Source organism: Homo sapiens, chromosome 13, assembly GCF_000001405.40.
Source record: "Homo sapiens chromosome 13, GRCh38.p14 Primary Assembly".
NCBI classification, from domain to species: domain Eukaryota; kingdom Metazoa; phylum Chordata; class Mammalia; order Primates; family Hominidae; genus Homo; species Homo sapiens.
The window spans coordinates 47,306,585-47,330,112 of NC_000013.11; the positions used below are offsets into that span (position 1 = coordinate 47,306,585).

At 37.1% G+C, this 23,528-nt stretch overlaps 1 pseudogene; it reads left to right on the top strand.

Moving 5' to 3' along the window:
* Positions 430-956, top strand: GNG5P5 (G protein subunit gamma 5 pseudogene 5; annotated as a pseudogene).

Genomic DNA, 23,528 nt, shown 5'->3' on the forward strand with positions numbered 1-23,528 from the left:
TGCAGTGTCAGTGGGGGCAATTTGAGAAGGCATAGTGAGATGTCATCCCTCACCCAAGGTATAAACAGAGACTGAGTAAGAAGTCTAGATTATCCCCTCAAATTGGCATAGGATTTTTTAAGGACCAAAATAAAAAAGAACTGTCAACCCAGAATTTTGTATCCAGTGAAAATGTCTTTCAGGAATGAAGGAGAAATAAAGGCATTCTCATATGAAATAGAATTAAGAGAATTTGTTACTAGCAAACCTATGCTAATATAATTGTTAAAGGAAATTCTTAAAACAGAAAATTAGAAAGGAAGTATTTTGGAACATCGTGAAGGGAGGAAGAGCAATGAAAGGAGGAAAGATGGGAAATACAATAGACTTTTATTATCCTCTTAAGTTTCTAAATTATGTTTGATGATTGTGATGAAAATGACAATAATGGCTCTGCTATCTGGCACCCCTGGACCCATGACCCACCAACCCAATAATCAGTCAGACTCTTGCATGTGCCATGTCTGGTTCCTCCAGTGTAACCACTTTCTCCTATGAAAAAAGTGGCTCAACAGCTCTGGCTGGAGCCAAGGCTCAACAGTGTAAACATTTCCCAGGCAGCTGCAGGCTGGGAACAATTCTGTCTGCAGAATGTTCAACAAGACAGACCTCTGCTGACTGGAGTATCTTCAAGTATGAATCCCTTCAGACCTCAGAAGGTCTGTTCCTTTTCATAGTAAAATGAATCTTTCAAAGGTTTCCCAAACTATTTCTCATGAACCAGTGAATATTCAAGAGTGCTAAACTTGAAGCACATACAAAAGCTTATGCCTGTAATACATGTGCCATAATACACAGACGTTTACTTTTATCAATCCTTAACGTCTACCTCTCTGAATTTCCATGAATTTCTATTTCACAAGTTAATTGTATTATATACACTGGCAGCAACATACAATAAAATACTTAGTATAAAAAATGACAATATTGTCTGATGAGATTTTCAATGTATATATGGGAGAAAATATATAAGATCTTTGTATGACTAATGAGAAAGATTAAAAGGACTTAAAGGAGAGGTATGATTTCTAAATTGTATTCATAATGGTAAAAAGTCAACACCAATAGACTGTAATAAGTTATGTCTCTATAATGTAATATCGATAGCAACCACTAAAAAATACACACAAAAAGATCTAAAAAATTACAAAAGTAAAACTATAGAAAAGTAAAAATTAAATTCCAAGAAGTTTAAGTAGCCTACAGGAAGGCAGAAAAAAAAAAAACAGAAAAGGAAAAACAGAGGAAACAAGCAGAACAAGAAATATGTCAGATATATCAATAAATACATAACATTAATAATTTAAATATACCAACTGAAAGACAAAGAGCCGAGTGAGGAGGATAAAAGAACCACTACGTGTTTTTTAGTCTCTAGGTTTATTTATTGAGTTTGCTGCATTTCTTTAGCACCATTCATATTTCACAGTACTTTCATATATTCATAGCACTATGAATTTAACATATTCATAGTACTCCCAAGGTTCCTACTTTCCTCTGTTTACTTTTTGAAAAATTTTTTATTTTAATTTTTGTGGGTACATTTCTGTGGGTATTGCATGCCTGGATCAAAACATTTTTTATGTACTCTATAAACACCTACCATGTACCCACAAAAATTCAAAATCTATACCTACTATTTTATATCAAGTAAAATAGGGTATCCATTCCCTTGAGTATTTATCCATATTTCATATATTCATAATACTCCCAAGGGTCCTACTTTCCTCTCTTTACTTTTTGAAAAAAGTTTTTATTTTAATTTTTGTGGGTATATTTTTGCGGGTATTGCATACCTGTATCAAAACATCTTATCTACTCTATAAATATATACACATAGCATGTGCCCACAAAAATTCAAAATATATACCTATTTTACATGATGTAAAATAGGGTATCCATCCCCTTGAGTATTTATCCTTTGTGTTACAAACAATTACACTCTTTTATTTACTTTAAAATATACAATTAAATTATTATTAACTGTAGTCACTCTGTTGTGCTATCGAATACTAGGTTTTAGTCATTCTAACTATATTTTGTACCTATTAACTATCCCCACCTCACCCCACTCAGACCCAACTACCCTTCCCAGTCTCTGGTAACCATTCTTCTGCTTTCTATCTCCATGGTTTTAATTGTTTTTATTTTTAGATCCCACTAATACATGAGAACATGCCATGTTGTTTTTTTTTTTTAACCTGGCTTATTTCACTTAGCATAATGACCTTCCCTTCCATCCATGTTGTTGCAAATGGCAGGATCTCATTTTTAATAGCTGAATAGTACACTCCACAGTGTATATTTATGACATGTTCTTTATTCATTTATCTGTTGATGGGCACTTAGTTTGCTTCCAAATCTTGGCTATTGTGATTAGTGCTGCAATAAACATGGGAGTGTAGATGTCTATTCAATATGCTGATTTCCTTTCTTTGGGGTATATGCCCAGCAGTGGGATTGCTGGATCGTATGGTAGCTCTATTTTTTAGTTTTTTGAGGAACCTCCAAACTGTTCTCCATAGTGGTTGTACTAATTTACATTCCCACCAACAGCGTACGGTGTTCCTTTTTCTCCACATCCTTGCCAGTATTTGTTATTGTGTGACTTTTAGATATAAGCTATTTTAACTGAGGTGACATGATATGTCATGTAGTTTTTGTCATTCTCTGATGATCAGTGCTACTGGGCACTTTTCATATGCCTGATTGCCATTTGTATGGCTTCTTTTGAGAAATGTCTATTCAAATTTTTGCCCATTTCTAAATCACATTATTAGACTTTTTTCCCCAGGGAGCTGTCTGAGCTCCTTATATATTCGGGTTATTAATTCATTGCCAGATGGGTAGTTTGCAATGGGTATTTTTCTCCCATTCTGTGGGTTTTATCTTCAGTTTGTTGATTGTTTCCATTGCTGTGCAGAAGCTTTTTAACTTGATATGATCCCATTTGTCCATTTTTGCTTTGGTTGTCTATGCTTGTGGGGTATTGTTCAAGAAATTTTTGCCCAGACCAATGTCCTGGAGAGTTTTTCTAAGGTTTTCTTGTCATGGTTTTATAGTTTTAGGTCTTAGATTTAAATATTTAATACAAGAAGGGAGAAAAATGGCAGACAGGAGGCAGGACTGAATTGCAGCTTCCACTCAGACTCATAGAGCAGTGTGTGGAGACATGAACTTTTGCTCCAAGAACTACCACAGGAACATACCAGGAAGGCTGAGAGAATCCACAGACCCTTTAAGGGAAGCAGGTTGCTCCTGCAGATCCCAGGAAACAGCCCAAAAACTGTGAGTGCCCAAAGTGTGAAAGTGGGAAAGAGGGATAGTCCATCCCCAGACACACACCCTCAGTGGGGAACCTGAAGGTCCAGATTATGGGAGAAGGATTTGACCTTACCTGGAGCTGAGACAACTTGAGGGAACTAAGCAAAATACAGGGGTAGAAGAAGCAGCGAAAAGAGCCCTATGGGCTTTCTCAGCCCCCAGGAAAGCCATTTCTGACTTTGTCTCGCAGAGGTCCTTGGAGAGGGCTGCCAGAGGAACTGAGAAAAGACCACAGAAAGAAGGAAACTTCCAGCTACTTTGTAACAGTTTTGACCGAATGCAAAGATCCCTGGACAGAACTCTAAAGAAGGGGTGAATCTGGAGTGCAGACACAGCACAGAAGCCACAGCAGGCGCAGAGGCATGAAACCTGAAAGCCAGGAGGCTGGTAGCCTGGGGCAAGTTCTCAGTCCTGCTCACCCACTGCCATTAAACAAACTCTGTGCTGTTAAGGGGTCAGGGTGGGAGTGAGACCAGCCTTTTGGGTTGCATAGGACCTGGATGAAGCCTGTCACTGCCAGCTTTCCCCAGTTCCCTGGTGACCTGCATGACACAGCAGAAGCAGCCATAATCCCCCTGGGAACATAACTCCGTTGGCCTGAGAACCACACCCCCATCTCCCATAGCAGCCACAGGAAGCCCTGCCCAAGGAGACTCTGAGCTCAGACATGCATAACCCTGCCCCCACCTGATAGTTTTTCTCTACCTACCCTTGTAGCCAAAGACAAAGGACATATTCTCTCCTGAGCTCTGGTGTCCCACCCACCACATGATCACTTCTATATTACCAGAGCTGATGCTCTCTTGAAAGCACCACCTCCTGGCAGGAGGCCAAAGAACACAAAATTAATGCAATAAACTACAACTAACGACCCTCACAGACTCCATTTTACTCCCCTGCCACCAGCTCCACCAGAGCAGGTGCTGCTATCCACAGCTGAGAGACTGAAAATGGCTCACATCACAGGACTCTGTGCAGACACCCCCCAGTACCAGCCCAGAGCCTGGTAACTCCATTTGGTGGCTAGATCAAGATGAGAAATAACATTCACTATAGTTTGGCACTAAGGAAGCCACATCCCTAGGAAAAAGGGGAGAACACTACATCAAAGGAGAACCTCATGGGACAAAAGAACCTGAATGGCAGCTCTTGAGCCCAGATATTCCTGGTGACATAGTCTACCAAAAAAGGAAAAAAAAAAACAGAAAAAAACAATTCTGGTAATATGAAAAAACAAGGTTCTTTAACCCCCCAGCAAAGATCACACCAGCTCACTAGCAATGGATCCAAACCAAGACGAAATCTCTGAATTGCCAGAAACAGAATTCAGAAGGTCAACTATTAAGCTAATCTAGAAGGCACCAGAGGAAGGTGAAGTCCAACTTAATGAAGTAAAAAAAGGTGATACAAAATATGAAGGGAAAATATTCAGTGAAATAGCTAAATAAAAACAATCACAACTGGAAATGAAGGACACACTTAGAGAAATGCAAAATACACTGAAAAGTCTCATCAATGGAATCAAACAAGCAGAAGACACAACTTCAGAGCTCAAAGACAAGGTTTTTGAATTAACCCAATTAAACAAAGACAAAGAAAAATGAATTTTAAAAAATGAACAAAACCTCCAAGAAGCTTGGGAGTACGTTCAATAACCAAACCTAAGGATAATTGGTATTCCCGAGGAGGAAGAGAAATCTAAAAGTTTGGAAAACATATTTGAGGGAATAATCAAGGACAGCTTCCCTGGCCTTGCTAGAGATCTAGGCAACCAAATACAAGAAGCTCAACGAACACCTGGGAAATTCATCGCAAAAAGATCATTGCCTAGGCACATAGTCATCAGGTCATCTAAAGTCAGGACAAAGGAAAGAAGCTTAAGACCTGTGAGACAAAAGCATCAGGTAACCTATAAAGGATAACCTATCAGATTAACAGCAGATTTCTCAGCAGAAACCCTGCAAGCTAAAAGGAATTGGTCCCTATCCTCAGCCTCCTTCAACAAACAATTATCAGGCAAGAATTTAAGCTTCATAAGTGAAGAAAAGATAGAGATTTTTTTCAGACAAACAAATGCTAAGAGAATTTGCCACTACCAAGCCAGGACCACAATAACTGCTAAAAGGAGCTATAAATCTTGAAACTCATTCTCAAAATACAGCAAAATAGAATCTCCTTAAAGCATAAATCTCACAGGGCCTATAAAACAACAACAATAAACAAATTTTTTAAAAAAGTATTCAGGCAATGAACAGCACGATGAATACAATAGTACCTCACATCTCAATACTAACATTGAATGTAAATGGCCTAAATGCTCCACTTATTTGGCAGAATGGATAAGAATTCACCAATAAAGTACCTCCTGTCTTCAAGAGACTAACCTGACACATAGGACTCACATAAACTTAAGGTAAAGAGGTGGAGAAGTATATTTCATGGAAATTGATACCAAAAGCAGGCAGGAGTAGCTATTCTTATATCAGAAAAAATAAACTTTAAAGCAACAGCAGTTAAAAAAGACAAAGAGGGACATTATATAATGATAAAAGGACTTGTCCAACAGGAAAATATCACAATCTTGAATACATATGCACCTAACACTGGAGCTTCCAAATTTATAAGACAATTACTACTAGACCTAAGAAATGAGATAGACAGCAACACAATAATAGTGGAGTTATTCAATACTCCACTGACAGCACTAGACAGGTCATCAACACAGAGAGTCAACAAAGAAACAATGGACGCAAACTATACCCTAGAGCAAATGGACTTAATAGATACTTACAGAACATTCTGCCCAACACCTGCAGAATATACATTCTATTCATCAGTACATGGAACATTCCCCAAGATAGGCCATATGATAGGCTGAAAAACAAGTGTTAATAAATTTTAAAAATTTGAAATTGTATCAAGTACTCTCTCAGACCACAGTGGAATAAAATTGGAAATCAACCTTAAAAGGAACCCTCAAAACCAAGCAAATATATGGAAATTAAATAACCTGCTCCTGAATGATCATTGAGTCAACAATAAAATCAAGATAGAAATTTTAAAAGTCTTTGAACTGAATGATAATAGTGACACAATCTATCTAAACTTCTAGGATACAGCAAAGGCAATGCTAAGAGGAAAGTTCATAGCATTAAATACGTACATCAAAAAGTCTTAAAGAGCACAAATAGACAATCTAAGATTACACCTCAAGGAACTAGAGAAACAAGAACAAACCAAACCCAAACCAAGCAGAAGAAAAGAAATAACAAAGATCAGAGCAGAACTAAGTGAAATCGAAACAAAAAAGATACAAAAGATAAATGAAACAAAAACCTGGTTATTTGAAAAGATAAATAAAATTGATAGTCTATTATGAAGATTAACCAAGAAAAGAAGAGAGAATCTCTAAAGAACCTCAATTAAAAATGAAACAGGAGATATTACAACTGATACCACAGAAATACAAAAGATCATTCGAGGCTACTATGAATACTTTTACATGCACAAACTAGAAAACATAGAGGAGATGGGTAAATTCCTGGAAATATGCAACCCTCCTAGATTAATCCAGGAAGAAATAGAAACTCCAAACAGACCAATAACAAGCAACAAGACTGAAATGGTAATAAATACATTGCCAACAACAACAAAAAAATCTAGGACTAGATGGATTCACAGCTGAATTCTATCAGACATTCAAAGAATTGATACCAATCCTATTGAAACTATTCTGAAAGATAGAGAAAGAGGGAATCCCTCCTAAATCATTCTATGAAGCTAGTATCACTTTAATACCCAAACCAGGAAAAGACATAACAAAAAAACAAAACTACAGACCAATGTATACCTGTCTGGGTCTTTTGTGGTTCTATATAAATTTTAGGATTGTTTTTCTATTTATATTTCTGTGAAGAGTGTCATTGATATTTTGATAGAAACTGCACTGAATCTATAGATTGCTTTGGGAACCACGGACATTTTAACTATATCGATTCTTGTAATTTATGAACATGGAATATCCAAAATTTTCTGAAAACTGCAAACACTGGTGAGAGAAATACAAGAAAAGCTATACAAATGGAGAGGTATTTATGGATTAGAAGAGTCATATTGTTTTTTTGAGACAGAGTCTCACTCTGTTGCCCAGGCTGGAGAGCACTGGTGCAATCTTGGCTCACTGCAACCTCTGTCTCCTGGGTTGGAGCACTTCTCCTGCCTCAGCCTCCCGAGTAACTGGGATTACAGGTGTTCTCCACCACGCCCGGCTAATTTCTGTATTTTTAGTAGAGACAGAGTTTCATCATGTTGACCAGGCTGGTCTCAAAGTCCTGACCTCAGGTGATCCACCCACCTCAGCCTCCCAGAGTGCTAGAATTACTGGCCTGAGCCACTGTGCCCTGCCTCATGTTGTTAATATATAAATTCTCCCCAAATTGATCTACAGCATCAATACAATTCCTATTAAAATTCCATCAGGTATATTTTTAATTAACAAACTGATTCTAAAATTTACAAAGAAAATGCCAAATACTAAAAATAGCCAAAACAACTTTGAAAAAGAACACTATCTGATTCAAAATTTACTATAAAGCTATAGCAATAAAAACAGTGTAGGGCTGATATAGAAGTAGACAAATATATCAATGGAACAGAATAAAGAATCCTGAAATAAACCTATATATATATATGTGTGTGTGTGTGTGTGTGTGTGTGTGTGTGTATTGATTTTTAATAAATGTCTCAAAGCAATTCAGTGGCAAAGGATAATTTTTCAAAAAGTTGTGCTGACACAAGTAGATATTCATATGCAAAAATATGATCCTCAAACAATACATAAAAATTAACTTGAGTCACAGGACTAAATATAAATTAAAGTGATATAAAATCCAGAGATACATTTAGGAGAAAAATCTTAGTAACCTTAAGCTTAGCAGTGATTTTTTAAAACATGACATTAAAAAGCATAAAGTATAGAATAAAAGATTAATAAATTGAAGTTTAATTTGTAATAAAACTTTTCTTCTTCAAAAGACAATGATAAGAAGAAGTAAAGGCAAGTCATAGACTGGGAAAAATATTTGCAAAACAGATATCTGAAAAAGGATTTGTATTTGTAATACATAAGGAATTCTTATAACTCAAAATAAACAACATACTACAAAGTGGACAAAAAATTTGAGTGTATGTGTCACCAGAAATTGATTTGTTGATATGATATGAGGTAGGGGACAAGATATTGTCATGACCTTGGGATGGGGAAGATATCTTGTCACAAGAAATGCTAATGCTGAAGGAAAAGTTTTGTAAATTACATTCAAATTGAGAACCTCTTGTCAAACGATACTGAGAGAATAAAAAGTCAAATCATGGCGTAGGATAAAATATATGCAATACATAGAAATAGCAGAAAACATGTTTCTAGAACATAAAAGGAACTCCTACGTGTTAACAGAAAATAATTTCTACAAGTTTTCTGTAAATCTGAAACTGCTCTAAAAAATACAGTATATTTTTTAAAACATGGAAGGAAAGAAGGAAGGAAGGATTAACTCATTAGAAAAAAGAGCAAAGTTGAACAGACACTTTCCTAAACATGATATCCAAGCAGTTAAACAAGCATATGAAAAGGTGCTTAATTTTTGTATAAGGTGTAAGGAAGGGGTCCAGTTTCAGTTTTCTGCATATGGCTAGCCAGTTTTACCAACACCATTTATTAAATAGGGAATCCTTTCCCCATTGCTTTTTCTTGTTGGGTTTGTCGAAGATCAGATGGTTGTAGATGTGTGGTGTTATTTCTGAGGCCTCTGTTCTGTACTCAAGATGGATTAAAGACTTAAACGTAAGACCTAAAACCATAAAAACCCTGGAAGAAAACCTAGGCAATACCATTAAGGACATAGGCATGGGCAAAGACTTCATGACTGAAACACCAAAAGCAATGGCAACGAAAGCCAAAATTGACAAATGGGATCTAATTAAACTAAAGAGCTTCTGTACAGCAAAAGAAACTATCATCACAGTGAACCGGCCACCTACAGAATGGGAGAATTTTTGCAATCTATCCATCTGACAAAGGGCTAATATCCAGAATCTACAAGGAACTTAAACAAATTTATAAGAAAAGAAAAGAAATAAACAACCCCATCAAAAAGTGGGTGAAGGATATGAACAGACACTTCTCAAAAGAAGACATTTATACAGCCTACAAACATATATAAAAAATGCTCCTCATCACTGATCATTAGAGAAATGCAAATCAAAACCACAATTAGATACCATGTCATGCCAGTTAGAATGGCGATCATTAAAAAGTCAGGAAACAACAGATGCTGGAGAGGATGTGGAGAAATAGGAATGCTTTTACACTGTTGATGGGAGTGTAAATTAGTTCAACCATTGTGGAAGACAGTGTGGCGATTCCTCAAGCATCTAGAACCAGAAATACCATTTGACCCAGCAATCCCATCACTGGGTATATACCCAAAGGATTATAAATCAATCTACTATAAAGACACATGCACACGTATGCTTATTGCAGCACTATTTACAACAGCAAAGACTGGACTGAACCCAAATGCCCATCACTAATAGACTGGGTAAAGAAAATATGACACATATATACCATGGAATACTATGCAGCCTTAAAAAACAATGAGTTCATGTCCTTTTCAGGGACATGGATGAAGCTGGAAACCATCATTCTCAGCAAACTGACACAGGAACAGAAAACCGAACACCACATGTTCTTACTCATAAGTGGGAGTTGAACAATGAGAACACATGTACATAGGGAGGGCAACATCACACACCAGGGCCTGTTGGGGGGTGGGGAGAAGGGGAGGGATAGCATTAGGAAAAATACCTTAATGCATGCAGGGCTTAAAACCTGGATGACAGTTAATGGGTACAGCAAACCACCATGACACATGTATACCTATGTAACAAACCTGCATGTTCTGCACATGTATCCCAGGATTTAAAGTATATATATATTTTAAAAAGGTGCTTAAACTTGTTAGGGATTCTGGAACCAGAACTTACTATCACAACTATTTGCTAAGCAATCACCACAGCGATTGAAATTGAAGACTAACAATACCAAATATTACCAGTACACAAACTAGAATTCTCATATGCTATGAGTACATAACTGTTTGTCAGTATCCACTAACGCAAAAGTGTGATGCCATATGACCCAGTGATTTCATTCCTGGATAGGTGTACACAGGTTTCTAAAAGTATATATGTTCAATAAATAATGTTTATAGCAGCACTTTCGTAATTACACTAATCTGAAACAACCTAAATTCAATGGTAATAGCATAGTGGTACAGTCATATAATAGAATATTATATAGCAATGGGAATTTATTGGCATATGGATGGATAATTTCACCAACATACATTTGGCAAAAGAAGACAGATACAGTAGTATATACTGTAAAATTCCATTTACATAAGGTTTAAAGAAGGTCAAAATAAACAACTTTGATAGAAGTCAGGCTGGTGTGTAACTTTGCAGGGAGAGGATCATGACTGAGGGCACAGAGGTTGTCTGGAGTGCTGCCAATATTCCATTTCCTGTGATGGTGGATGGCAGTTTCATGGGTGTGTCCACGTTTTGAATATTCATCAAGCTGCATACTTACCATTTGTGCACCTTTCTATGTACCGAATCTGTCTGGCAAGTAACGAGCTTTCTTTAGAGAATGGCAGGAGAGCCAGAGGAAAGTGGGATGAAACAGGCATCAACCAGACCTGTTGTTTCCATTCTAGTAATGAGAGATGTTGTACTATTAATTTAGGTCTACTGTACCTTGATCCTTTGAAATGTTTTCGGAATTTTTTTCCATGTAGTTTCAGTGTGTGCTGGCAAATTCATCTCGTTTTGTTTTTGCTAAAACACACCAAGAAGTTGTGCCTGCATCTGATCCTCTATGCTATTAGCAGTTCCCAGGTACCAGGTCCCCACCTGCATGAGTACTACATGGACAAGCTACTTTGATGGCTCTCAAGTCCCATCTGCCCTGGAGAGGTCTCCACAGTGTCCTTGAAAGATCCAATTTTACTTTCCTCCTTCTTCCTCCTCCCCCTCCCACCCAAGGTTTCTTTAGGAAGAAGAAGAAACCCTTTTATTCTTCCCTGCTATCTGTTTTATTCTCCTAGAAGGAATTTCTTCTTTTTTTCTAAAACATTACCATCAGAAATCAGAAATGGTCACAATTCTTTTGGAAAAAAAATGCTTTATTGAGGTATGACAGACATTCACAAAGCTGTATATATTTAATGTGTATGATTGGATGAGTTTGGAAATATGTATACACCTGTGAAACCATCACCACATTCTACATCATAAACACACATCTACTCCAAAAGTTTATTCCCATCCTCTTTATTATTTTTTTTGCATGTGATAAGAACACAAGATCTCTGGTTTTAGAGAATTTTAAGTATACGATACAGTATTGTCTATAATAGGCACTATGCTGTACAGTAGATCTCTAGGACTAAATCATCTTCTGTAACTGAAACTTTGCACCCTTTGACTAATTCCTCCATTTTCCCCACTATCCCTCAACCCTAGCAAGGACCATCCTACTCTCTGCTTCTTTGACTATTTTTGTTTCCTCATATAAGTGGTATCAGGAAGTATTTGCCCTTCTTAAACATTGATAAGTTATTAAAGTTGCTAAGAGAGCATGCAAATGTACATTTCCCCTGAGGAGAACTTTTTATTGGAGTGGAAGTGCTATTTGTCTCAAAAAATGTCATTGTCTTGTTTGATTTTTCAGAAAAGGGGATGAGGAGGTAGGGAAATATTTGTGTTTCTTTTGTTCAAATATATGATGTAAAGTGTTCTCTATGTGCTGTTTATATGAATGTAGACTGGTTCAACAATAATACTGCTGTCAGCCCTAGAAGAGGATCTAAACTTCTGAGGAAAGCATATTGGTAAATAAATATTGATACATCCTACAACCTTTCATAGATACTGCTTGGATAGGCTCAGAATGTAAAAGGTGCTTTCTTTTCTCTTTCCTTTTCCCTCCCCTTTTCCCTCCCCTTCTTCCTTCCTACTTCCTCATTTTCTTTTTCTTTCTTATTTATTTTCCTCCTTCTCTGCTACCCAAGCAGATCACTGTCTAATGCAGACTCACACATATTTCTGATTAAACTAAAAACTTGAAGGACAAAAATGAATTTGAGCAATGGTCATGTTTCCAGGCAGTTTATTTCATTTCGAGTGGAGACCAGGGGTCCTGGAATAAAAATGTGAAGAATTTGCTGTTCTAGCAGTTGGATTGAAGAAGGGGAAATTCAATTCAATTATCTTAGAAATCCATTAGCTAATGAATAGTTTTATCAGTGTTCCCAGAAAAGTTTGACTCAAATGCTTTGGTGGGCAACTGCTCAGCTTAGAAGAGACTGAAGAGGGGACGTACTAGAGGAGATGTGGCTTGCAGAAACTTACATTGTAAGCCAGAATCTGTCATTTGGTAGGAATCATTTGGTGGGGAACATCAGAGAGCTGGGCTGAAGATAATGTAGCCATAAATTCCATTAGGGTAACATAAGCACAAGGCTTCTGAATTTGTAATGCTTTTCTTTGAAAGGTGAATAGGTGATTGAATTCATTGAGAACTCATACAAGTTACATGCTTTGTGAATAGGGATTGATTGATAAGGGTGGCCTATTTATTGAGTCTATAAATGCTTATTTCTCAAATTTATAGCATAAGGCTCAAGTATTTGCATCATAAACTCAGAAGGGCAAGTTCACTAGTGCCATTTTATTGAGGATTCACATTACATATTCCTTTCTCAAAGATGCCTTCCTTAACCCTTTAGGGAATGAAACCTATTTCTAGTTGCAGTTCTACCTTATTATGCTGCTATTTTCTGTTTATTGTCTGCAAACCTCCTACACCACAATGCAAGTTTATCTTATTTTGGGAGCAGGAACTCAACTTGCCTTGTGGAGTCCAGAACACAGAAGTTATTAAATATTAAACTGAATAACACAGCAACTAATTGTCAAACATACTCATGATGGTGCCCATGAAAGTACATTTTTAAATCTCCTAGCACTAAGAATAGAGGCAGAAGTATAGGAATAGCCTCTTAAAAAATTGTGAATAAATAGATAAATGGCTCAGTGACTGAATGAGTACAGGTACATAATCAATCTGAAAACCCAAGTGTGGGCTGAGAGTAAGAAATAATGTGTCAGAGCTTTGATGGTTTATTAAATGACAGTGACATGTTTCAGGGGCACTTCCACCTTGTGTGCCTGAGATACGCACATTGGATACCTGAAGTTCTAAACCAAAGTATATAAATAATTCAAAGTTCCTGGTGCCTTTTAAATATTAGCAGTTCCTGGAAGCTCCTCCACTCCCCTCTATCTCCTCTAACTGAATGTGTACCAAGTGGCCATTTTCCACACACCTTCTTAGGTTGTATACTGCTATACGATTTATCTTCTTCTCTTGAGTTCTCTGAACAATCAGCTGATCACTAATTTATTTTTACCTTCATCATCTCAGTCACCACAAATAACTGTTGAGCCCCTCTCTATGACAGATATGTACATTGGGATGGGCAGTTAGGAGGGTCTACATTGCAGTGGGAAGGATAATGACCCCGATAGATGCCCACATTCTCATCTCAGAACCTGTAAGTATGTTACACGGCAAAGACAACTTTCCAGGTATGTTAAATGTTATGAGATGGGGAGATTACCCTGGATTATCCATGTTGACCCAGTGAAATTACAAGGGTCCCCATATGAGAGAGGCAGCAAGGTCAGAGTAAGAACAGATGATCTGACAGCAGAATCAGAGGTTGAAGGAGGCTCATGAGCCAAAGAGTGGGGGCAGCCTCAGAAGCTGGAAAAGGCATGAGAACAAACTCTACCTTGGAGCCTCCAGAAAGAACTCAGTCCTGTTGACACCTTGATGTTAGTACAGTGAAACCCATTTCAGACCTCCCAAACAGCAAGATATTAAATTTATGTTGTTTTAAGCCACTAGGTTTATGAGAAGTTGTCACAGCAGCAGTAGAAAACTAATTCAACAGAACAGCAAGATGAGAAGTCTAACCTTAAGGAGCTTACAAGACAGTTTATCTTTGACTTTTCACATATGACCTTCTACATATAGTAAGTTGTTGAGTCTTGAACACACCTGCATGCTCTCTTTACATTCTCTATAGCTTTTATTACAACCTTTACATCCCCACCCAGGCTTTCACCTTTAATTCCCAGTTAATGTTTTTATTATTATTATTATTATTATTATTATTATTTCACAACTTAGCTAATGTAATAGCCTCCTGATGGTTTTCTCTCTTTCTGATTCTTTCATCCTTCGTGGACCAACTTGGTTAACGTTCTTACAAAGCCACTTGATCACGGAGTTAGACTCTCAGAGTTTATGGGCTAAAGAGTCAATCTATCATAATCATTATTCAGTGCAACAACAGAGCATCAGCCCTGCTCAGAAACATTCAGTTCTTCCACATTCCTGCCACACACAGCGCCTTCTCTGTAGGCTGGAGTGTTAGTAAGTCTTTTGTTATATTAATTCTACTTTTCTATTCATATCTCTCCCCATTTATTCTCCAAAACTAGTGAACTAAATGCTCAAGCCACCTTCTACATCTTCTTCACCTATTCTCATGCCACTTCTTTTCCTAAACGTGTGCTTCTCACAATATTATCTATCAGAATTTTATTTCCTCCTCAAAGTGGTGGAACCATTCACCAGGAGAGAACTAGGTTTGAGGCTCTGTAGAGTGTAAGATACCAATCCCTGTAATTGTTTATTTCATGTGTATCTTTCAGGGTCAATCTTGCATTGTTGTTTTAGTATACGCAGCATCCCTATCATCTAGCACACACTACGCAGCACCTAACTACATACTTGCACATGGCAGACACCCATAAAATATTGATTTAAAATGAGCTCACAGAAATATTAACCATCCATTAGCTCACTTGCAAAGGCAAGTTACATCAGTGTTATGATGATTCACAAATAGTAAAAGAAGCACAAAAAACAAATTGTACACCTGTATCTTCCATTTTTGTGCAAGATTAAAAGATCAAATTCTAGGAAATGATTTCAAATAATTAAAGTTGATAATCTGTTTATAACATCTCCAGGGTTTATAATCACTGACAGTTTTTATTTAAAAAGTTATCTTAGCTGTCACACTTGTTGTAAATCCCTGGAGCTGAAGTTGTATGGTGAATAGAGTATCTGGCTCCATTCTTCTGCTTTAGGCCACATACATTTCCATGTTTTCTGAAATGTATTTCCTAACTAGCTCTTTCCCACTGTTACTGTGAGGGCACATCTTGGCTTTTTAGTGACATCTTGTCTGTCTCCCTGGGTGTATGCCTCATGGACTATAATGAGTGAAGCAACTAGGGCAAGTAAAGAAAGCTCTGGTCTAAGAGCAAAAAATCCTGGCTATTGTCCTGGCTTTGCCACTATTGATTTATATAACTGCATCAAGTCACTTAACTTCTTTGATCTTCAGTCTTCTCATGTGTGACTGAGGAGTACTCTCAACTTCAAAGGAAGCCCAAGAAGTGGGATTCATATGGCTATAGATGACTTTATTCCATGCTTCTTCATATAACTTCTTCCTGGGGCCCCCAGCAATGGGTCTCCCTAATGATATGTCTTCCATATGCCCAGAGTACCTCCTTCTGTGAGAGAGGAGAGGGAAAAGTCTTCATGCTGGCAGTACTCTGGATAATGGGAACTTGGGGTGTCTCTTTGTTGCCTCCTGGATAAGGAAGAATTATGATGGGAGGCTCTCAGAGCCAGCACCTGCTGCCAGCAGTGACAGTGGGCCATCCCACTCCTCTCTGCTTGCTTGGTCTTAACCACATAATTTTTAAAAATTTCATCGGAGACAGCACACGGTGGGAATAAAAGTCTAACCTTGGAATCAGATTGCTTGCTGTCCTGACTGTCAAGTGTTAGCTGTAATGGTTGGCAAACTACTTAGTCTTTATGTGCCTTAGTTGTTTCATCTGGTGAATTTAAGATGATATTAATAGTACCTAATTTCAAGGATTGAGTGAATAAATGTACAATGTTTAAAACAGTGCATGGTAGATAGAAAGTACACCATGTCATTTAGCTGTTATCATGAAACTATCAGTAGCAGGAGTAGCAGTAAGAGGAAGATAAAGAGAAGGATTAGGAGAAGGAGTAAAGGTTCAACAGCTTTCCTTCCCAGCAGAACACAGCCCCCAGTGCTCTGAATGGCACTCAAAACCCACACCACCTTGTCCTTGATATGCTCCAGTCTCCTTCCTCCATGTCCTCCAGCCAAGTAGCCTGACTGCTCTTCTAGAACCCACCGTACATTTCCTGTTTTCTTTGCTGTTGTTTTTCTCAGGCAGAATGTTCTACCTTTCCTTCTCTACATATCAAAATTGTATCCATATTCCAACTTAAAGCTAAATGGCATCTTTGTAAAGCCTTTCCAAGTCATCCAGTCATATTTAAGCTCTCTTTCCCATGTTTGTCCACCCTTTAATCTTCTCATGTGGTACTGCTTTCCATTCTCTTTCATATTGGAGTTAGTGGTTTCAATTTTAGGATCCCCAGCTATATGGTAATTTCCATGAGGGCATAACCCTCCAGGGCTTATATTTGCCCTCTCTATCTCCTGGGTTAAACTGCCCATCAGCACAAGGCACTCAGTGGCCAGGAAAGCTGGTGCCACACATCCTTCTCCATGCACATCTTCCTTCCTTAGACAGTTCCTGCTTCCATGCTATACATCTGTGGGCCAAGAGAAATCAACAGAGAGCAATAACTATAGCCATCTTCATCGCTTTGAAAAAAACTAATAACCAAGGAGAAGGAGAGAAATTTGCTGATACTACATTGTGGTTCTTTGATTGGGACAAAAATATAACCCCTCTACCTGTTATTACCCTCCAAAAGGTCCATAATGTACCAGCCTTAACATTAAGCAACACTTATATTAGAAGTCAAACATAAAGATGATAAGTGTAATTGCACAGTGATTCCAAGTTTGAGCAATGGAAGAGAGACAAGTAGAAAGCAGAAGGTGAGACATTGCAGGAAATGGAACGGATATTGAAGCCTGAGAATGAATCCAGGAGTCTACAGATAAAGTCTATCCTTAAAACCTAGGCTATTTAACATATTCTTCATGACAGACTCTAAATACAGATATTATTTCTGTCAATTGAAAGAATTTTGTATTTTATATCAAAAACTGAAAGAAAGAAATTCAGCCAAGCTTTAATATTCATACTTTTCTCTGGGGAAGACATACTGTCATATTGAAAGGTTTTAAGTATTTTGCATTTTTTGCATCTGATTTCATCTCCCTTCATTATTTAATATTCAAAGTGTTTCATTCTTCAATTATAAATTGCTCCTGTTTAGTTTCTTGACCACATCTCAATGTTCTTTGTAACCATTTTAATTTTTTAAATACTTGAAATAAAATAGGATTTCTTAGTATTGAATAATGGAAGGTTTTCCCTTCAGCCATACAAATCATTGTTTTATCTTTTTTATTTTTAAAATAATTGTGGTTAAGCAAGTAACTGAGAAACAGGTCTAGATATTGTGTTTGAAAGCAACATACTAGAGTTCTTTAAATGAAATTAAAAGACTAAAAGAATTTTCAAAGGACATTGTCTCCCATATGAGTTACTTATATGCTAAAACCATGTTTTCTTTTAGTTAATGTCAATTATATGATTTCCATGCTCAAAAAGAAGAAATTCAGGATTGAGAGCAATGTCAAGGTTATGCCATGAAGGAAGATCTAATTTGTAAAGGGAGGGAGAGAATTGAACCTTCTCACCTCTTGCTCTTTCATTGCTACAACCTGGAGAAAAAAAAAAAAAAACCTGATTTTTGCCCTTTAGTGTAATGGACAAGGTGGGAATAAAAGTTGGCTTTTCTTTCAGCACCTCTGTGCTTTTCAGAGAGAAATCTTCATGAATAGGGCAGTAGGGACGTCTGAATCTAGAGAACGAAAACCCTTTTCGTAGCCTTTTTATTTTCAGGGAGGGTGAAGGTGGGAGTATTGATTCTACTCAGTATAATCCGTTTGAGACAGTTCTAGTTATGTTTTTATTCTAAAAGCCTAGTAGTCATGGTATAAGAATTATCTTCCTCCAATTCTCAAGCCAATGTTTTTCAATATGTCATCCCTGAGCATTCTGGGCAAACAGGGCCATCTTCTTTAAGCCCATTTTTCTTTGATTTGGAAAAGCTTCTTAGAAGACTATCAGAAGTGAGATACCTGCAAAGATCAAAGGAAATGTGTACTTACAATGTGCTTGGTTACTCTGCTTGTTGGAAGCCTTAGTTTCCATGTTTCAGGCTTGGTTTGGTGGAAAGAATTTAAATTTGTACCTACAGATTTCATTGCATCTACACTATAAGATAGTTGGTATTATTTCAATGAAGAGGCAAGACAGAAGGTTCATTAAGGAGGAGTAGGCTTTTACCTTTTTTTTCTTAACACTCCTGTATGATACGACATGAGTACACACACACACTCCATTCAAAAAACAAAGCATCTGTTCTCTAAGAACCTGCCCTCTAAATAGGTAACTGATCACATGAGGAAGGCACAAGAACATATACTGCAACATACAAACTAATTTCCTATTTAAATAAGAATAATAATAACAACAAACCCTTATATACCATTTACCACTCAGTAGGAACTGTTTAAAGCACTTTACATGCATGTATGTATTCATTCCCCATAACAACCTTACGTAGTAAGTACTATTGGAATGTGAGTTAGGCTGAGTAGAAGGAACATGTACTCTATCTTTCTCCCAACCATAGTGCCAAGACCAAGTGAGCTCTTTGAAATTTAAGATCACAACTCTTCTTTACAAGAGATTGCTTTATTCCAGCAAAGGTGATGAACAACAGTGGCTTACAGTTTACAATGCCAGAATGTCAGTTGGTAAATTGTGCTATATAGATTTTAATTAATACATTGTCATATATTTAATTAATTTAGTTTTAATCCCCTACACCATGTTTGCATGGAGTAAGCATGCATATAGTGAATGAATGAATGAAAACTTAGTTCTGTTGGAAGAAAAGAGATTAGGAAGAGAGGACTGTCCAGGAGTCAACTCAACACAGTAAACGTTTAGTGTAGATAAGGAAGAGAGGATTGTCCAGGAATGAATTCAATAAGCATTTAATGCAGACCAAGCTGCATGTGGGGTGTCAAAGCACAGAAGGATGAGTCAGGCAGCACTTACTGAACAATGTCTTGGAGGCAGAAGTGGGAAATGAGCCCTGACATCCAGAACTCTGGAGAACACATGTGTCAGGATATGAGGAAAGGATGAGACAGAACAAGGAAAGGCCTGAGAAATTTCAGAAGAATTAACTGCATATGGTGGCATGCACCTACCGTTGGGTGTCATCTTTGATGAAATCTTAAAAATTAAGATTTAATTATGGTAATGAGTTAAACCGAAGTAGAGATGGGTTCTGAGATTTTGGTTAGAACTGTTGTCTTGCTATAGCTTTCATGTTTCTTTCTATACCCTCTGTGTTTCTAAAGAACTATGAAGTGAAGGCAAAGATCTACTCTTTTCTATTTCTATGAAAACTGTACTTCTTTTGTGGGGTTGATGGTACATAACCATGTCTAACTATGTACCACTGACGTGAGTTTCAATATGTGGTTCTCTTCACAAACAAGCTTCAGTTTTGTATGGTCATTCTCAAGACTCTACTGACATTTGCTCCATAGGACCACAGACATCAGAGTCCTTACAATGTTAGTCAAAAGTAATCTCTCTCTGTTTCTCTCTCTGTGTCTCTGTCTATCTCTGTCTCTTTATTTCTCTCTCTGCCACACACACACACACACACACACACACACACATGCACGCCTGTGCTCACACAAGTTATATAATCCTGTCCCAGGTCCAAATACTATTTCTAACTGCCTCATTGATTTTTATTATTTCAACTAAGCTATTTACAGGTATCCTAAGCACTTTATAATATTAAATACCACAAAATATACTGATATCATATAATCTAATTGAGGAGAAAAATATATATGTTAAGTTTCAAATGCATAATGAATATAGCATTTTATACTAATGTATGTTTCTGCTTTTAAGGAACTTTCTTATATGTTACCTACTTTGATCTTCAAGCAAAGGTTGATGGGAAGTTAAGGTTGATGGGAAAATTATCAATATCCCCATTTTAGGGATGAGGGGCTGATGCAGGGAGTTAATAACCAGCACATGATTACATAGTTAGTATGTGATATGGTTAGGAACCAAAGCCTTCATAACATCTTCTGAAATATGATCCACTGTTTCACAATTGCCCCATTTGTCCTTTGAATAGGACCAGGGAGAGACAAATGCTGACATTATAATAAAGAGATTCTGGGTCACAGGACTTGGAACCACACCGTTCTATTGGGAGAGGAAAGCAGAGTGGGGAATCTGAAAGTGAATGAGGCCTGAGGCCAAACCAGAGAATGGCTGAGTGGGAATGGGGCCATTGCAGATTGAACAATGCTGAGTGGACATGGGAAAGGTACCAGCTGGAAATGCAGAAGGCAAAATGGGTAGCTATTCCGGCCAAATAGGTACGTGATTGAAGCAGGCTGAATCAGTAATTGAAAGATAGGACTTTCTTCCAGGAAAAGATTTCACATCTCTGTCCTACCAATAATAAGACCCAAGAGGGGCCACATATTAATCAGATGACTAAGTACATGTATAGCTATCTAAAGCTTGGGCAAGCCAGGTTTAAGAAAGAGGAGAAATTCTCCCTAAACTGATTCAACACAAAGCCTATCAAAATGCCAACAGAAATGAAGAAGTAAATCCCACATTTTATATAGGATGCAAAGGATCCAGAATAGATAAAACAATTTTTTAAAAGAACAATAAAGTTAGAGGACTTTCACTTCCCAATTTCAAAACTTACTCTAAACTACAGTATTTAAAACAGTACAGTGCTGGCACAAGAGTAGACATATAAATCGACAGAGAAGAATAGAAGTTCAGAAATAAGCCCTTATCTCTGTGGTCAACTGGTTTTTTGCAAAAGTGCCAAAGGGATTCATTGAGGGAATAAATCATCTCTTCTGCAAATACTGCTAGGATAATTAGGTATTCACAAATGAAAAGATTAAAGTAGATCCTTACCTCACACCATGCACAAAAAGAGTACCCCAAAGGGGATCATAGACCTAAATATGGTGGATAAATTTACAAAATTTTTTAGAAGAAAATCTTTATGACTTTGAGTTAAGCAACATGTTCCTGATATGACACCACAAACATAAGCCATAAAAGAAATAAAATGATAAACTGGACTTCATCTCATACTTTTAGATTGTATTTGACAGTTCAGTAGGATCCAACAAAGGAGAAGTGTACGTTCAGTCAGCTTGCTGCTTGTCCTCTGCTCTGCTCTGGGAAAAAAACAAAAAACAAAAAAACAAAAACCCAAAACACAGTAATAGTAATTGTAGTAGTTTCCTGTAGCTGCTGTAACAAGTTACTGTGAAACAGAGGACTGAAATGTCACAAATTTATACCTTACAGTTTTAGAGATCAGAAGTCCAAAATCCATTTCACTGGGCTAATGCCAAGGTGTCAGCAGGGCTGGTTCCTTCAAGAGGCACTAGAGGACAATCTATTTTCTTTCCTGTTTCAGCTTCTGGAGACCACCTACATTGCTTGTTCAGGGCCTTTTCCTTCTTCAAAGGAGGGAGCATCACAGCACCTTGCAATTCTCTGTCTCTGATGTCTGCTGGCTTTATCACATTGCTTTCTCTCCTGCTTCCCTTTCTGACCCTTCTGCCTTCCTATAATAAGGAACCCACCTGAGTAATCCAGGGTAATCATGCCATCTCAAGATACTTATTTTAATCACATCTGCACTGTTCCTTTTGAGATGTAATATATTTCACAGGTTCCAGGGATTAGAACGTGGACATATATACATATATTTTTTGGGGGGATGTCATTATTCAGCCTATTTCATTCATTAACAGTATCACCAAAAATATTAATTCTGAAATTACCCAGTGTATCAATTCTTTTAGATGATACAATAAGATAAATGTAATAACATTTTGATATATATAATTTAATCTTAATAAATTGTCTCTTTTGAAAGAAATGTGTGTGTGTGTGACTATGTTGCTGTGTGAAGGAGACTGTCAGATTTGAGAGCTGATTCTGCACTTTTAGTTTGATACTAAGAAACTAAAAATACCACTAAATGCAAATTACAGATATAGGGATCATGGTGTGAATGGACTATCACATTTCTAGTCCTTTTGAGGAAAGGCTACACTTTTGGGTAATTGTAGGACACCAGCTGGCAGAATATTTAGAACGACATTATTTCTTTATTTTTTTAATTTTCTTAAACATCTGGTGCCTTCTAGATTTTTATGTCAGAGAATTTTAATTTTTTCTTGAGTTCTTCAAATAATTACTCCTGTCATACATTCACAGCTTCAACTTGATTTCCTTCCTAAAATTTAAGATTATTTTAAATCCTTGTGTTAAAGTTTGTGAATCTCTGATATAATAATTTAAGGATGCACTGATTACATTTCCCCTAGGTTAACAATTTAATAGTGTCCTACTGAACAGAATAGGATCTACTTAGGAAAAGTGACGTGAGTGATTTTAGAAGTTTGAAGTTTTTAACATGTCTCCTGCCATTCCATCCTATACCTAGGGGTAATTATTATTCCCCAAGGAGAAATAAATTCATCTATTCACTTTTATTTATATCCTGCTTTGTTAAAAAGCTTTATGAAATTTGTTTTGTTTTGTTTTCATTCGAAAATATGTGTCTAGGGCAATTACATTTGTTATAAAAATCTCAATGACACTTTTAAAGTTTCTCCTTGAAACCTTCCAGCTCAGAAGTGAAAAAAGCTTCCAGTAGTCTTTAGAGCCACATTTTGAACTCAGGTGTCTATAAACCATCTCAAATAGTGGATTGGAGTTGGCACATCAATGATAGCTAATATATTGAGTGCTCTCCTGGACACCAGCCTGGTACAGTGTGGACTCCCTTCACTACCCCTGAAATCCGTGTATGTCCAGCGGGGTTC